The sequence below is a fragment of the Homo sapiens genome, chromosome 3 (genome assembly GCF_000001405.40).
Source record: "Homo sapiens chromosome 3, GRCh38.p14 Primary Assembly".
Taxonomy (NCBI): domain Eukaryota; kingdom Metazoa; phylum Chordata; class Mammalia; order Primates; family Hominidae; genus Homo; species Homo sapiens.
The window spans coordinates 46,253,010-46,271,487 of NC_000003.12; the positions used below are offsets into that span (position 1 = coordinate 46,253,010).

Sequence of the window (18,478 nt, forward strand, 5' to 3'; positions counted from 1 at the left end):
GCATTAAGAACCACTGAGAGCCAGACCCCATCTCCAGAGACTCTGATTTAATTGTTCAGGGTTATAAGCTGGGGATTTTCAAGAGCTCCCCAGTGACTCCCACATGCAGCCAGGACTGAGAAATGCTGCTCTAGCCAATCTTCCTCCCTCTGGGGGAATCCCTTCTACCCCGTCCCTGATAGGAAGTCACTCAGCCTCTGAGTGAATTCCTCCAGTCACAGCTCACTCAAGACCTCACATGGCACCCATTTCATTGCTGGATAATTCTACTCAAGGTGTTCTTGAGTGGTGGTTGAATTTGCATCTTTGAACTACCTCTTGCTGGTTCTGGGAGGCTTTGCAGGGAGTCACACATAATTCTGATTCTCATCTGCCCAGCCAGTATCATACTCTCTCCCCTCCCCAAAGTGGATTTTCTCCAGGATGGATACGCTTGGCTTCTTCAACTCATCTTTACTGGGTAAAGCTTCCTCTTGACTGCATTTCAATTGGTCAATGTTTGCATTAAATGAGCCCTGGACATATTTGGACCACTTTCGGATGCTGTGAAATGATCCTTCCCACTATCTGCATATAACACTTTTATTAATTTAGATTAAATTAAGATTAAATTTAACTAAGTTTACATGCAGGAAGTTTCTTTATTAACCCCATCACATGTTAACCTTTAAGGGAAACTAGAATTACCGGATTCTTTTGGAGTATTTTTGTTCTACTTTTATTTTAGGTTCAGGGGTAAATGTGCAGGTTTGTTATACTGGTAAATTTTGTGTTGATGCCCAGTGTGGGTAATCTAAATTCTGTTAATAGAAAACTGTTTAAATTCCACACAGTGGAATACCATCTCGCTATTAGAAAGAATGAGGCCGTTCTACAAGTATTGATATAGAAAGATTTCCAAGATGTAAGGTTTAAAAAGGCTCAGAAAACTTGATGTTTCTTACTCTGATTTATGTACCAAAGAATGAGACAGTTCTACAAGTATTGACATAGAAAGATTTCCAAGACATAAAGTTTAAAAAGTCACAGAAAACTTGATATTTCCTACTCTGATTTATGTACCAAAAAGCCACTTATAATTATGTATATAAATTCAGCCACCACTCAAGAACACCCTGAATAGAATTATCCAGCAATGAAATGGGTGCCATGTGAGGTCCTGATTTATGTACCAAAAAGCCACTTACAATTATGTGTATAAGTACATAAACAAATATCAAGAGGGCTCGACAACAAACTCCCCTCTGAGGAGGAGAGGAAATTGAGAAAGGGGAGAATAAAAGAAACTTTACATTTGTCAAAAATAAAATCAGATCAAAATTTAAAGTTGCAGAAGTTTATTGTGCACACAAAAGAACAGTTTGGGAGTGAGGAGACATAGATCTGAAAGTGTAGGGATTCCCACTTAGAGCACTTACAGCATAGTTTATAAAGCATAAAGGGGAAGTATTTTTCCCCCCTGGGTTCAAAGTTCTTTTTTAAAAAAAAATCAATAGGTTTTAGGGGAACAGGTGGTGTTTGTTATATGAATAATTTCTTTAGTGGTGATTTCTGAGATTTTGGTGCACCCATCACCTGAGCAGTGTGTACACTGTACTCAATGTGTAGTCTTTTATCCCTCACTCCCCTCCCATCCTTTCCCCTGAGTCCCCAAAGTCCATTTTATCTTTCTTATGCCTTTGCATCCTCACATCTTAGCTCTCACTTATGAGTGACAATGTACAATGTTTGGTTTTCCATTCCTGAGTTACTTAACTTAGAATAATGATCTCTAATTCCATCTAGGTTGCTGCAAATGCCATTATTTCATTCATTTTCATGGCTGAGTAGTATACCATGGTGTTGCTATAAATGTGTGTGCAAGTATCTTTCTCATATAGTGACTTATTTTCCTCTGGGTAGATACCCAGGAGTAGGATTGATGGATCAAATGATAGATCGACTTTTAATTCTTCAAGGAATCACCACATTGTTTTCCATAGGGGTTGTACTAGTTTACATACCCATCAACAGCATAAAGTGTTCTCTTCACCACATCCACGCCAACATCTATTTTTTTTTTTATTATTATAGCCATTCTTGCAAGAGTAGGCAGTATCACATTGTGGTTTTGATTTGCATTTCCCTGATAATTAGTGGTGTTGAGCATTTTTTCATATGTTCGTTGGCTATTTGTATATCTTCTTTTGAGAATTGTCTATTCATGTCCTTAGCCTACTTTTTGATGGGATTATTTGTTTTTTTCTTGATGATTTGTTTGAGTTCCTTGTAGATTCTGGATATTAGACCTTTATCAGATGTGTAGATTGCAACGATTTTCTCCCAATCTGTTGGTGGTCTGTTTACTCTGCTGATTATTTCTTTTGCTGTGCAGAAGCTTTTTAGTTTAATTAAGTCCCATCTATTTATCTTTGTTTTTGTTGTATTTGCTTTTGGGTTCTTGGTCATGACCTCTTTGCCTAAGCCAATGTCTAGAAGAGTTCTTTTGAGGTTATCTTCTAAAATTTTTATGGTTTTGGGTCTTAGATTTAAGTCTTTGATCCATCTTGGGTTGATTTTTGTCTATGGTGAGAGATGAGGATCCAGTTTCATTCTTCTACACATGGCTAGCCAATTATCCCAGCACCATTTGTTGAATAGGGTGTCCTTTCCCCACTTTATGTTTTTGTTTGCTTTGTTGAAAATCAGTTTGCCTTAAGTATTTGGGTTTATTTCTGGGTTCTCTATTCTGTTCCATTGGTCTATATGCCTGTTCTTATTCCAGTACCATTCTGTTTGGGTGACTATGGCCTTATATTAATAGTGTAGTTTGAAGCTGGGTAACGTGATGCCTCCAGGTTTGTTCTTTTTGCTGTGTTGCTTTGGCAATGTGGGCTCTTTTTTGGTTCCATGTGAATTTTGGGATTTTTTTTCAAGTTCTGTGAAGAATAATGGTGGTATTGAGATGGAAATTACATGAATTTGTAGGTTGTTTTTTGCAGTATGGTCATTTTCACAATATTGATTCTACCCATCCATGAGCATGGGATGTGTTTCCATTTTTTGTGTCATCTATGATTTCTTTCAGCAGTGTTTTGTAGTTTTCCTTGCAGAGATCTTTCAGTATTTTGAACTTTTTTTGTGATTTGCTGTTATACATTAACATGGTGTTGCAACAAGAACATTTAAAGCTGATTTGTCTATAGCAGATTGGTTTAATTTCACTGAATCATGCTGACAATGACATAAACTTTATATTTTGTGTTTCATTTATTATTACATCTGGCTTTTCAGGGAAATCAGGATGACTTCAGTCTTGGCTATGTGGCTATGGGTGGTTGGCCTTGAGGAGTTTGGGCTGTAATCCTGAAAAACACAATCCTGAATGCCATAATCCCAAATGTTGAAATCCAGAAAGACTAAAATTTTAAATCCAAAACCACAATCCCAAAATATTAAAATCCTGAAAATATAACTCTGAAAACAATAATTTAAAAGACATTTATTTATATTCCTATAGGTGGATTTATTTTGAAAAACTTATAAAAACACAACAGAACACTTCACAATAGGGAATAATATATATATTTTTGCAAGCATAAACACTCAGGTATACTAACAACAGTCACAAGGGTATAACAGTTATGAGCAGATGAATTTTATTCATAAATAAATAGTGTCAAAATTTTATTCATAAATAAATTGCGTAAAAAATCACAATGTATAAATGCATATCACTATAGTTAATAATTGTGTGCACCCAGCTTTATAAACTGTAGTCATCTGAAATACTGTGATGGACATCCTAATTCTTTGGATGAGATCAATCGAGAATCATGATGGGTCACCACCATATTTGCCAGTTGCCCAAAGAGCCAAGACCTCGAGAAATTGTATCTTTCACAAACACAGAGGCACAAAAAGGACATCTGTTTATTTATCAAGGAGGTCTTCACATTTGTGCACACACACACACACACAATGCTTACACACAAAGTTGTAGTAGTAATGTACCTTCAGGAGTCAAATTTGCAAAAAAAAATTGCATAAAACATAATAAAACTCTCTAAATGTCTTTACACAGTTTATAACTCCACTACTGAAAATGATGCAAAGATTAAATACATAGCATAGTGAATTGGCACTAGGGGTGAAGGAACAGAAGTGATACACAATTGAGTAACTTGGCAAGGGAAATTTCTTGTATTTTTTCCGTGTGTTTTCACTTCTAAGCTCTTCAAAACACTTGCTGCACTTGTATTTGGAGAGTCGTTGTTGTCTACACATTGCCTAAGTATATGCTGTCCATTTAAAAGTCCGTTTATTGCTTGGCTGTTGCAATTAAAGGATTGGTGCTTTTGTAGCACCAATAATAATCAACTTTAACATTGTTATCTTTCACCATTAAAGTAACCTCATACACTTAGCTTGTCCCAGGCTTTTTTTTTTTTTTTTTTTTTCTGGGAAAAAAGTTCACCAGTCTCTTCCATTGAGAGTAAAGGAAGAGTAATGGAATATTGTGATGCTCATTAGACACTTAAGATGAAATTTTGAGTAGGAATTTGGGTCAGGGCTTAAGACATCAATTTGAGAGTCCTTAACATGTATTAGTATTTAAAACCATAATGGCATATCATTCCAGTAAGAAGGATGATACTCAGCTTCCTCAATACCAAATCTATATTAGTCTGGGTTCTCCAGAGACAGAACCAATAGGATATGTATGTAGATATATGAGATGGGATTTATTAGGATAATTGGCTCACAATTAAGGCGGCTAAGAAGTCCCACAACAGACCATCTACAAGCTGGAGACCCTGGAATACAGGTAGTGTGGCTCAGTGTAACTCTGAAGGCCTCAGAAACAGAGAAGCCAATGTTGTAACTCTCAGTCCTAGGCTGAAAGCCACTGAGTTGGGGGAGGTGGGTAGTTGTATAGTTCAAAGGCTGGTGAGCCTGGATTTCTGATGTCTAAAGCAACAGAAGAAAAGTCTGTTCCAGCTCTCAAAGACAGACCAATTTGCGTTCTGTAATTGTTCTCTTCAGGCCCCCAGCTGATTGGATGGTGCCTGTCAACCCTGAAAGCAGATCTTTCCCACCTAATCCACTCAGACTCACACAGTAATCTCTGGAAACACTTTCACAGACACACTCAATACAATGCTTCAACAAGTTTCTAGTTATTCCTTTACTCAGTCATGTTGACATCTAAAATTAAGTCCACAGATCCACCCTTTGTCAAGTTGACATGCATACACATCTCCTTAAACCATACTTAATTTCCAAATAAAGATAATAGCAAGTAATAGTTCTTCTTAACACGATGCAACTAACATTATGCAACTACGGTGTGTACAACCAGAAATGCACTAATCCTTCCCCAGAATTCAGCTTTCAGGATTTCAACATTAGGAATTTTAGTCTTTTAGGATTGTGATTTTGATCTTTTGGGATTTCAACATTATAGCATTTGGGATTGTGTTTTTCAAGAATATGATCAGCACTGGGCCTTGGGACATATCTAAACTGTGGCCTTCATTTTTATTTTTCTTTAACAATTCCCCACTTTTGGTCATCCTCTCGCTTGAACTGAGAATGTGACTGGCTATTACCCTTGGTTACTACATGTTGCTTTCCTTTCTGTAGACATTTATAGGTCACAAACTAGAATCTCAGTAAGTTATTTTGATGACTCTTATTCATATAGTTTTGGTTTTCAATCCTCACGGAGATCAACTGTTGAGTTAGTGGCTGCTGACAAGCATTTAAGATCCTTGTGAGACTACATTGCATAAGGGATATTATCAATATGACTAATAGGAGGATAATACCAAGAGTCTGAAAAATACCCCAAAACCAACCAAACCAACCTACTTAAGAGCCAAGATTTAGCCAATCAATTGTGCTTCCCTGATCTGGTAGAATAGTAGGATCTGATCTCTTAGATCTCTAAGATTTAGGGCTACAATTCCTGATTCAATGACATAGAAACAGCATTTTAAAAAATATGGCTGTTTCACTCTAATAGATTTTCTTGGCTTGCAGTTTGAATGTCTCTGGTAATGTCAGTGGAGGTCCAGGGAACTTTCTGAGTGGCTGTGCAGCAACATGCACAAAAGATGTTCATATACAAGCTGTTGTGGTGATTTCTCTGAAGTTTATTTTAGGTAATTCAACTTCAGCTTGCAGGACTGTAAGGCTAGAAACAACCCTAGTTCAAAACTGTCAGAAACCTGTATGTGTCAGAGTCTTTCTATGAATTTCATGTCATTTTGTACCATAAGGTATTTGCAAAAGCTTTCAGGAAAGCACCAGAGTAAAACAATAACTGCTGTGGATGAACAATGGTTTAAAATGCCCCTGAGAATTTACTATAATGCAGTTGAAGAAGAAATTTGGTTATTTCTGTGATATACAACATTTTGGCTGATAAAATATATACAACATATGGCTGATATACAACACATGGCTGGTAAAATTATACCAGGACATATCTGATATTTAGGAAATTCATATAATTTCTGAAACACATATTAATAAGATATATCTATACAAATATAACATAAAGAAGATTTAACATTATTTCTTATTTGGCAGTTCTTCCCATGCAATGTAATATGTTAAATAAACTTAATTAGTCTAACATCTCTCTTTTTATAATATAAGGAGAGAATAAATTCCTTTGAGGTTTTTCCAGAGGCTCTCTGCAAAATTCCAAAGTTAGCTTAAGGTAAAAAAAGACTGTATGTAGAATTGATTTAGGAAGGTTGTCAAAAATGTCTAAAGATTTAAAGCACTTGATTAAATAGGATCATAGTTCACTGTGAAACAATACTTAGGTATCCATTTAGCCAAAGTGACAAGTAAAAGATTTCAAAGGCAAATACAGAAAGTTACATAGTTGTATTAGTCCATTTTCATGCTGCTGATGAAGACATACCTGTGACTGGGCAATTTACAAAAGAAAGAGTTTTATTGGACTTCCAGTTTCATATGGCTGGGGAGGCCTCACAATCATGAGGGAAGGTGAAAGGCACATCTCATATGGTGGCAGACAAGAGAAGAAGAGCTTGTGCAGGGAAACTCCCCTTTTAAAAACCATCAGATCCCGTGAGACTCATTCACTATCAGGAGAACAGTGCAGGAAAAACCCACCCCCATAATTCAATCACCTCCCACCGTGTGTCTCCCACGACACATGGGGATTGTGGGTGTTACAATTCGAGATGAGATTTGGGTGGGGACACAGCCAAACCATGTCATTCTACCCCGGCCCCTCCCAAATCTCATGTCCTCACATTTCAAAACCAATCATACCTTCCCAACAGTCACCCAAAGTCTTAACTCATTTCATCATTAACTCAAAAGTCCACAGTCCAACATCTCATCTGAGACAAGGCAAGTCCCTTCTGCCTATGAACTTGTAAAATCAAAAGCAAGTTACTTACTTCCTAGATACAATGAGGGTACAGGCATTGGGTAAATACAGCCATTCTAAATGGGAGAAATTGGCCAAAACAAAGGGGCTACAGGCCCCATGCAAATTCAAAATCCAGCAGGGCAGTCAAACCTTAAAGCTCCAGAATGATCTCCTTTGACTCCATGTCTTGCATCCAGGTTATGCAGATGTAAGAGGTGAGTTCCAATGGTCTTGGGCAATAGTTAAGAAAACAAAAATGAAAAATCTTAGTTCCTGTAACACAAATAACTCTATTTTCTTAAGTAATCAAAGATCTTGATAAACACAACATGAGGCAGAGGAAATTATTTTGATGAGAAATAAAATCTGCTCTTTTAGGCAGATCACTTAAAAGGCAGAGAAAACACTTTCATTACTCTTATCAAGAGTAGACTAATAATCCAAGAAAACTTTGTGGTTTTTAACAGAAAGAAGACCAAATTCTAGTTTTGCATCAGTGTACTTTGATATTGAAAGCCCATTTTAAAATCCTTGTAATAAATTCATTCAATTTTATCCAGTTTAACCACATAAGATTCTCTCTCTCATTCTTTCTCTCCCTCCTACTTTCTATGTTCATTTAACTTTTGTTCTTTATTATCCTCTTTCTTCATGTTGAAATAACCTTTAAATAACCTTCAAAACAGATCAAAATCACATTCCCAGGTATAAAACCTTGATATTGTAAAGTTATCAATTCTTCCTAAATTTATTTACAAATGTAACACAATTCCACCCAAACTTATGTTTTTATAAGTAATTGAGTAGATGATCCTAAAGTTTAATAAAACAAATGGCTCTAATAGGTAAGACATTTGGAAATGTATAATGAAAGGGAGTTGCATAATAAGATCATCTATATAAATCATCTAATAAATCTACAATAAAAAGTGTCTCTAGCACAGAAATAAGATATCAATAGAATATAAGGTACAAAATCAGATTCAGGAACATTAAAGAATATACGACAAAGGTGATATTTCAAGCCCAAAGGGGAGAGGATGGTTATTCAACACATAGTGTTTTAAAATTTGTCAGATAAGAATGGAGAGGAGGAGGCTCCTCTCCTCTGACCCCAGGGAATGTGAGAAGAGACACAGTGGTTATGAAAGGAAGCAGTCACACCTGTGGATCCCTACCTTCCCCATCAGAGCTAGGGGGCATGGAGCGCTCTCTGCTAAGATGGGGACCCCCAAGGAATGTCTCCCTGTGGGGCACTTCCTTACCAGATGGGATGGCCAGTGCAGTTAAGTTGGTGGTCAGGCAGAAAAAAAAGATCTAGTTTGTACTCTTGAGAGTTCCTCGGTTTGTTCATGGCATGGGCAGGGAGTCAAGGAGCAGCAGCCTTGCCTCAGTGCCTACCAGTGCAGGAAAAGGTGCATAGCCTGGGCCAGGGCCAGGGCCCTGGTGGAGGCGTAGTGGTAACAGAGAGGGCTCTCCATTCCAGCCCAAGGAAGACTAAGAATGAATACCTCATGAGTATATTAGCTACAAACCACCACAGCAGGTTCCAGAAAAAGGCTCAGCGTTGGAACCAGGTCACCCCCACTCAGCAGACACCAGTCATATAAATCAAGGACCAACAGGAGACAGGAACACCCCCTTCCCACTCTGCCCCATGTCTCAAGTTGTAGTGGCCCTTCCTCCAGATCTCTGCCACCATCTTAGAAAGGAACACTGAAAGAAGAAACTGAAATTATAAGCTGACAGCATAAAGAGGATGAGTAAAACCTAAAATCATTGTTCAAATGAATGAATCAAGAGAAGTTTAAACCACTTTGGACTAAAATGTGTGAATCCTTTTTCCTGCTATCCAGCAGATGAGAAGCTGGTAACAGAGACCAAAATAGTTTGGAGACTAAAGAATCATTGCACATTTCACTGCTGAGTTGTATTGTGAGTAATTTTAGTTGACCTCACTTTTGTAAATCTTGCACACGGGCATCCATATCTGCACAGAGATATGTTAACAGTGGTAAATGCTGCATGAGGAGATTGGGTGATTTTTACTTTCGTTTTTGTGCTCTTCTTTCTTATTGTTCTTACTTATTTACGATTACCCTATCGTTTTCCAAAATGTAAAAGGCCATTTTGAAAGCCTAATTCAAACCTCTTCACTATTTTGTATCTAAGTATTCACCTTGATTGAGACTGGGTAGACAGGTGAAAACCATATCAGGTTTTTAATTTTTTAATTTTTAATTATTTATTTATTTATTTATTTTTTGAGATGGAGTCTGGCTGTCGCCCAGGCTGGAGTGCAGCGGCGTGATCACAGTTCACTGCAGCCTCAACCTTCTAGGCTCAAGGGATTCTCCCACCTCAGCCCCCCAAGTAGTTGGGACCACACGTATGCGCCACCATGCCTGGCTAATTTCTTATTTTTTTGTAGAGATAGGATCTCACTATATTGTCCAGGCTGGTCTTGAATTCCTGGGCTCAGGTGAGCCTCCCACCTGGGCCTCCCAAAGTACTGGGATTACAGGCATGAGCCAAGGTCCCCTGCCCATATGAGATTTTCTGTCTCTGATCCCATGCAGCTAGTAATCAAGGACTTGGCTGCTGACTCTGGAGGACCTGCATGCTTTCTTGAGCTGTGAACTTCAGTGCTAAAAGCTCATAGGCAGCCCTGAAACCCAAACCAAAAGGTTCTATGGTTTATCATCCCGATCATGTTGATTTTATAGAAATAACACATGAATTAAAGACACTACCCTCAAACTGAGCAAAACTTAAGTAATTTTTTTAAAGTTTGACCTGTTTTTAAATCACTCTTGGAGAAAAAGGAAAATAAATACAAATAATTAACGGTGAATACAGGCTACTATACCTTTGTTCTCCAGAATTAGCAGTTCTGTTCTTTTCTTGCTTTAGATGCTGAAGTGCAGAAGGACACTCTGTGATTGTACGTGTGTAACTGACAAAATGTGTATTTTTTTTCTCAGCTGCTATGGATTGGATTATGCTATTATGAATAAGAATGCTGATGGGAGCACACACAAACCATTTGTTCCTCAGTCCATTTTCCTCCTCAAAAGCCTGGAATGTGCCATTGATCAGTGGGAGATGTACCTGGACAGACCCATGAAAAGAGATCAACAAGTTCCACCCAAGGGACCCTATTTTTCCTAATTTCATTTGAAATGGCTTCTAATTGTCCTTCTTTCATTCCTGCTTCCTACCAGTTTTACAGCTTTTTCTGGTTTCAAATGTGAACTCACATACACTCTCATTTTTCCTCATCACAACCCCAAGTGACCCAATGGTCCTCACTTTCGATATAAGTAAAGGAGGCTCTGCATTAAGGGCTTGTCCAAGGCACGCAGCTGAGAGGCGCTAGGACTGGCTCCATTTCCATCTCTATTCTCACTGACTTTGACTACCCAGAACCCCAACATGTGGGGCCTCAGTATTCGATCAATTATTCTATTAAGAAGCAAAAACAATTCCCCGCATTGGCCCCAGTTATTAAGCATTTCTCAGATTTACCTTGAGAAATGCCCATCGGCCTGTATATTCACATCTTCACCCTTGTCCCTTCCTCCTAGAAAGGAGAAAGTCAGTTGGATGCCCTCTGAGGAACTAGTGCATGGCTTAACTGTCCTTCCATGACTCCTGCCTTATCTGTTTTCTATTTTCCTCCTTTTCCACCGAAGTCTATAATCTCAAGAAAAGCAGGCACTGGCCTTAGGGCTCCTGGCCTAAGAAATATCAAGTCCAGTGAGAAATCCCATTGACTGACCCCTCCTGCTTACCCCTTTGTGATGGAGAAGCTCCCAGGGGTTTGCTTTTTGCATGTTACCAGGCCTAACTCAGCATCACCAGGGGCAAGAAAAGGAAAGTAACCTAAACTAATGCTGCTTATAATTGTAATTATTGTAATAGTTAATTACTGTGATTGTACATGTGTAACAGACAAAATGTGTATTTTTTTCACAGCTGCTGTGGATTGGATTATGCCATTTGGAATAAGAATGCTGTTAAGAGCACACAAGCCAGGTTCCTCAAGTCCGTAGCAAATTTTTCAAAAGTTAAATTTAAAAATCACTACATTTGAATCTAGTGACAGGAGAAATGGACATGGATAGAGACTAAAGATCTAGCCCAAATTTTATATTTACTTGTTAGAGGATTTTGAACAAATTACTAAATTTCTTCAAGGTTCAATTTCCCCATTAACTATAATGAATGGCTCATCATTATGGGGCCCTGGAGAAGCATAATTACTTGTAATTGTAATAATCATTGTTATTATTATTATACATATTTTGCTTTTAAATGGATAAGGATTTTTAAGGTATATGTAAACTGTAAAACATAAAATGCAAAATGCCGTAAGAGACAGTAGTAATAATAATGATTATTATATTGTTATCATTATCTAGCCTGTTTTTTCCTGTTTTGTATTTCTTCCTTTAAATGCTTTCAGAAATCTGTATCCCCATTCTTCACCACCACCCCACAACATTTCTGCTTCTTTTCCCATGCCGGGTCATGCTAACTTTGAAAGCTTCAGCTCTTTCCTTCCTCAATCCTTTTCCTGGCACCTCTGATATGCCTTTTGAAATTCATGTTAAAGAATCCCTAGGCTGCTATCACATGTGGCATCTTTGTTGAGTACATGAATAAATCAACTGGTGTGTTTTACGAAGGATGATTATGCTTCATTGTGGGATTGTATTTTTCTTCTTCTATCACAGGGAGAAGTGAAATGACAACCTCACTAGATACAGTTGAGACCTTTGGTACCACATCCTACTATGATGACGTGGGCCTGCTCTGTGAAAAAGCTGATACCAGAGCACTGATGGCCCAGTTTGTGCCCCCGCTGTACTCCCTGGTGTTCACTGTGGGCCTCTTGGGCAATGTGGTGGTGGTGATGATCCTCATAAAATACAGGAGGCTCCGAATTATGACCAACATCTACCTGCTCAACCTGGCCATTTCGGACCTGCTCTTCCTCGTCACCCTTCCATTCTGGATCCACTATGTCAGGGGGCATAACTGGGTTTTTGGCCATGGCATGTGTAAGCTCCTCTCAGGGTTTTATCACACAGGCTTGTACAGCGAGATCTTTTTCATAATCCTGCTGACAATCGACAGGTACCTGGCCATTGTCCATGCTGTGTTTGCCCTTCGAGCCCGGACTGTCACTTTTGGTGTCATCACCAGCATCGTCACCTGGGGCCTGGCAGTGCTAGCAGCTCTTCCTGAATTTATCTTCTATGAGACTGAAGAGTTGTTTGAAGAGACTCTTTGCAGTGCTCTTTACCCAGAGGATACAGTATATAGCTGGAGGCATTTCCACACTCTGAGAATGACCATCTTCTGTCTCGTTCTCCCTCTGCTCGTTATGGCCATCTGCTACACAGGAATCATCAAAACGCTGCTGAGGTGCCCCAGTAAAAAAAAGTACAAGGCCATCCGGCTCATTTTTGTCATCATGGCGGTGTTTTTCATTTTCTGGACACCCTACAATGTGGCTATCCTTCTCTCTTCCTATCAATCCATCTTATTTGGAAATGACTGTGAGCGGAGCAAGCATCTGGACCTGGTCATGCTGGTGACAGAGGTGATCGCCTACTCCCACTGCTGCATGAACCCGGTGATCTACGCCTTTGTTGGAGAGAGGTTCCGGAAGTACCTGCGCCACTTCTTCCACAGGCACTTGCTCATGCACCTGGGCAGATACATCCCATTCCTTCCTAGTGAGAAGCTGGAAAGAACCAGCTCTGTCTCTCCATCCACAGCAGAGCCGGAACTCTCTATTGTGTTTTAGGTCAGATGCAGAAAATTGCCTAAAGAGGAAGGACCAAGGAGATGAAGCAAACACATTAAGCCTTCCACACTCACCTCTAAAACAGTCCTTCAAACTTCCAGTGCAACACTGAAGCTCTTGAAGACACTGAAATATACACACAGCAGTAGCAGTAGATGCATGTACCCTAAGGTCATTACCACAGGCCAGGGGCTGGGCAGCGTACTCATCATCAACCCTAAAAAGCAGAGCTTTGCTTCTCTCTCTAAAATGAGTTACCTACATTTTAATGCACCTGAATGTTAGATAGTTACTATATGCCGCTACAAAAAGGTAAAACTTTTTATATTTTATACATTAACTTCAGCCAGCTATTGATATAAATAAAACATTTTCACACAATACAATAAGTTAACTATTTTATTTTCTAATGTGCCTAGTTCTTTCCCTGCTTAATGAAAAGCTTGTTTTTTCAGTGTGAATAAATAATCGTAAGCAACATAATGGCATGCCATTCCTGTTCTAAATATTCTTCATAGTTTGTTGATTTCCTGTTCACACTGAATGACAAAATTTCCCATGGGTGACTCACAGAGCCCTGAGAAGTGTGCACTGTCCTCTTAATGCCAATCTGACATTGCAGAGGAGGCCAGGGCCTCCTGTACATATGAAGTAGCCCGGGTATGGAGCGGGGAGGTGTTGGGCTTGCAGGGACTCTCGGCACCTGTAGCTCAGTGGCTCTCAAACTTGTCATCAGAAGCACCTGGAAGTTGTGTGAAAATGTGGATGGCTGGACCCCACCCAAGAGTTCCTGATTCAGCGGATCTAGAATGAGACACAAGAATGTGCTTAGCATCACTAGCAAGTTTTCTGGTGATGCTGATGATGCTGGTCCTGGAACCACGCTTTTAGAACAACTGCCCTAGCTAAAATGTCTGGACATTCCAGACCCATCCTTGAAATTGCAGATTTTAGTGTCAGAAGGAAATGTAAAATACCCTTGTGATCTAGGCTCTGCCAAAAACAATCACCACCCAGGACAGCGTATGTATGTCAGTTCATCGTAAACCAATCAGTTTAGTGGGTCTTTCTACTCCATCATTTTTATTTAGTTGAGCTTTTCTTGAGTGCCTATATTTAATACCCTGCCCTAGAAGCTATAGTAGATACAAAGATGAGTATGACTTTGTGTGAGCTACATCCTAAGGAGGAAAACATGCAACTTATGATGTAAAAGTATCCCCCACAAAAAAGTAGGAATGGCTCAGGTCTCCATTCCCTTTGGTTCTGCCTAGTTATGGCTTCTAGGGGAAGTAAGTTCTAAGCTTCTGATTAACTTATGCCTCTCAGTAGAGATCATATGACTGTGCAATGTGAGCCTTGCCAGCTCTCCATCCAACAGCTGTCTGTTAGGTGATCCGGACAGGGTGCACAAACACTGCTTCAGGTTAAGTGAAAGATGCAAAAATGTGTAAGACAAGCACAATCCCTGCCCCTATGAAACCTTCAGTCTAGAAGGTGTATAAGATGGAAACAAACAACTCTGGTGCAAAGGGGTAGACACTCAATGCTATGCCTGGGCCAGGAAGGGAAAAACGACTTCTTGTGGGAACGTGAGGGGAGGAAGATTTCATGGAGGAAGTAGCTTTTGAGCAGTTTTCTGAAAGAAAGGCAGGATTTAGAAAGGGAGAGAATTTGGGAGAAGGCACCTTTAACCCAAGGGAATGCCCCATCCCAAGGGGAGAGAGGAGGGTATGCATATTTGTGGACAGGAGGGTGGCATGGGCAGGGTAGGGTGGGCCATGAACTTCACACAAGGGGAGCTATGGAAGGGTTTAGAGCAGGGGAGAAAAACAATGTAGGAAGATACATCTGGTAACACATAGAGCATGGAGGGGAGGCCTCAGAACCATGCAGGAGGGAAGTTAGGAGGTGAGTGCAAGTTTGGAGGCAAGGAAAGATCAGCAGCTGGTAAGAGAGGTTCCAGGAGCACTCAGGAGAATTTGACCAAGAGATAGCATGAAGGATGAATTAAAGCACTAGGAGTGATATATGGCTGAGTGCAAAAATCAAAGGGCAAGGCTGGGCATGGTGGCTCATGCCTGTAATCCCAGCACTTTGGGAGGCCGAGGCAGGCGGATCACGAGGTCAGGAGATAGAGACCATGCTGGCCAACATGGCAAAACCCTATCTTTACTAAAGTACAAAAATTAGCTGGGTGTGGTGGCAGGTACCTGTAATCCCAGCTACTCAGGAGGCTGAGGCAGGAGAATCACTTGAACCCGGGAGGCAAGTTTGCAGTGAGCCGAGATGGCGCCACTGCACTTCAGCCTGAGTGACAAGAGCAAGACGTTGTAAAAAATTTTAAAAAATGAAAATATAAAATCAAAGGGCAAAGCAGAGTGTATCATATGCTTAAACACAGACACACACACACACACACACACACACACACACACACACACACACGTTTTACTCTGTACTTAGGTGTATAGACCATCTCTCTAAGGATACAAAAGAAACCAGTACCAATATGGGGTGGCTGGAGAAGAGGAAAAGAAGCATGAGTTTTTGTGCCTTCTGGATTTTCAATCATGGGGACATACTTCTCATTCAAAAAATAAATACAACCTTAGAATGATATAAAAAATAAAAGGCTAGGCTGCTATGTAGATGTTCAGAAGTAGGCATACGTCCTACCAGCCATAAGGAGATTAGAAGCCTCCTGCCATGAATTAATCCTGTGACCTGGCACAAATTATTTGGCCTCTTTTGGCCCCAATTTCCTCATCCATATAATAAAAAAGTTGGATTAAATCATCTCTAAGGCCCCTCTGTGGCCCAAGTAGACTCTAATCTTGCTAAAATGTTAGGAGCTGGAGGCTCTAAGTTTACAAAATATATGATAAAAAAAAAAAAGGAGGAGAAGAGTGGTGGACAAGCCCACAGCATTACCTCCATTGGTCGTGAGGCCAGGCATGGTTCCCACTGTTCACTAAGGGGTACTCAGGTTTTGTTCATTCATTTGGTCATTTACCATTCAGCAAACATTTGCTGAGCATCCACCATGTTCTTAGCTAAGTTCTGAGGAAACAAACAAGGGCACACCCACAGGTGTCCAATTCAGTCTGACAGTGAGCTCCTTGGGGATGTCCAATTCAATCTCAACTTGGATGCTGCCTGCAGGGGGCTCACCATCAGACTGAATTGGACACTGCTCTTGTTCTCCACTGCCAGAGTTCATGATCATGCCTTATAAAGGAATTACCAATGCTTGAATTCAACCCAGATGAAAGTTCCACGTGAAGACCAGAAGACATTTTTTATTTCCCAATCCAATGCTTGGAGAAAGGGAGTGCATTCTCTTGGTCATGATTCCATCCATCCTCACCCTCTGGTGAGTGGCCTGGCCTTTTGTCACTGTCTTGCCTATCTAAGAGCTCTGCATGGCCAACACAGGATGTGAACTCTGTAACACTCTAAACCACGCAACATGAATCTCAATTTGGCTAGGACAATTTGAAGTACGTCTCTTTTTTGTGGTTCAGCCAAAATGTAAATAAAACAATCATTTAAAAACTGAACTACACATCACTGGTTCTCTCTTGCATTATGAAGTTGCATCTGCCTTAGGTAACCACAAGTGCAGGATAGAGATGCTTGTTCATACCATACTCCTCTTACCCTTGAAAGCTTTTAGGAGCTTTTTGACTCTCTCAAACTTCACATAACCAAATCATGAATTGGTGTGTGCTGCTTTGTTCCCCATCCCAGCTCTGTTCAAGAACTATAGAAATACACTGAGAGAAATGTTCTATATCTGCACTGTCCAATATGATCGCCACATGCAGCTATTGAGCACTTGAGCACTTGAAATGTGGCTTAGGTGGCTAAGGCACTGAATTTTTAAATTTTATTCAATTTAAATTACTTTGGATTTAAATTTAAATGGCCACATTGGTAGTGGTGCAGCAGCAGCCCCTTCAAACCTGCCTCTTGACCCCTCCTCTACCTATGCATCCAGCACCCTGTAGCCCTCAAACACATGCCCTGAACACTGCACAATAGGGAAAATCCTGGTGATGCAAAATGAACGAGATCCATTTCTAGAACACTCACTCACCGTTCAGTGGAAGAGACCCACCTGATTCCTGTGGCTGTAATGAAACATGAGGGGTGCCTGAAGGACACTGCTGCAGAGAGTAGGATGGAGACATTGAAGAAAGGTGCACAGAGAAGGTGTCTTTCTGCTTAGATGGGGTTCCTCCAGGCAGAGACCCTGAGCAAGGATTTGAGAGCAAAAAGTTTATTTGCAAAGTGCAGGAAACTCCAGTAGGGAAGTGAGGAAGTAAAATAGGGAGGGAGGAGAAGATGCGAACAAGGGTACATTATCCAGCCATTTTTCACAGGGGGTGACTGGAGTTAAAGCCACTAGGGAACTCTGGGAGACAGTACAACACACTTCTCCTGATTTGAGGGGTGAGGGAGTTGGGGTATTTATAATCCACTCCTGTCAGTCATTGGCCGAGGATTGCTCCTGGGGGATGTTAATCCCCAGCACTTCCTGCTGGCCTTGCTAGGGCAGGAGGCCTTCCCAGCTTTGGAGAACATTCCTGGGGCAACAAGATGTAGATGCTGGATGTTGGAAGACAGTTGGGCATGCTTGGTTAAGGCTTGAGAAATAAAGCATTTGCTACGCATTTGAACTAGTGTTAGAACAGTTTTTCATGAAGCAGATGGTGGGAGTGAGAGTAGCATCCAGGCAGGTGGGTCAGTTTGTTGGAAGGCACAGTGGCACAAAAGTGACCCACAGATGCCTGCTCTGGTGATGCCTAGTGTGACATTGGGCAATGACAGATGCCCTTGAATGTGCCTCTCTGTTTTCTTCCCTGGCTGCTTTACTCCTCCTCCTTTTGTTCAGCATCATAATCTGCTATTTCAGAAGATGGTCCCTTTCCAGCTTGAGTTCCTGAGATGTTCTCCAGATTCTAGAGCTAAAATTCTAAAGGCTTCATATCTCCTGAACAAAGCAGTTTCTGGTCCTTTCTAGCCTATGGACTGTAAAAAACTTCACTGAGGTTTTCATCCACTTCTTCCCAGGTAAATCCCCAGTGTAGTTAGGGTCACCATTCTTCTTTTGCTAGTCTCTGACCTAATCCAGGGCTCGGACAAGGACCTGCAGGACAAACCTGGCCCACTGCCTGTTTTGTAAATAGAGTGTCACTGGAACACAGCCAGGCTCATTTTTTTATGCATCGTCTGTGGCTGCTTTTGCACTACTA

General features: G+C 40.4%; 1 protein-coding gene across 6 annotated transcripts in view; it reads left to right on the forward strand.

The window, feature by feature from the left end:
• CCR3 (C-C motif chemokine receptor 3) overlaps nt 1-13,697 on the forward strand; it is a 56,011-nt gene extending 42,314 nt beyond the window's left edge. For 2 of the 6 annotated variants that reach the window (XM_006712960.4, NM_178329.3), the window contains one exon: nt 12,139-13,697. In XM_006712960.4, the coding sequence (XP_006713023.1) occupies nt 12,150-13,217 (1,068 nt within the window). In that variant the 5' untranslated portion in view covers nt 12,139-12,149 and the 3' untranslated portion in view covers nt 13,218-13,697. Of the gene's footprint in view, nt 1-9,255; nt 9,335-10,383; nt 11,447-12,138 lie in introns of all 6 variants that reach the window. The other 4 variants (NM_178328.1, NM_001837.4, XM_017005685.2 and 1 more) reach the window with 4 other exon arrangements.
• The last annotated feature ends 4,781 nt before the right edge of the window (nt 13,698-18,478 follow it).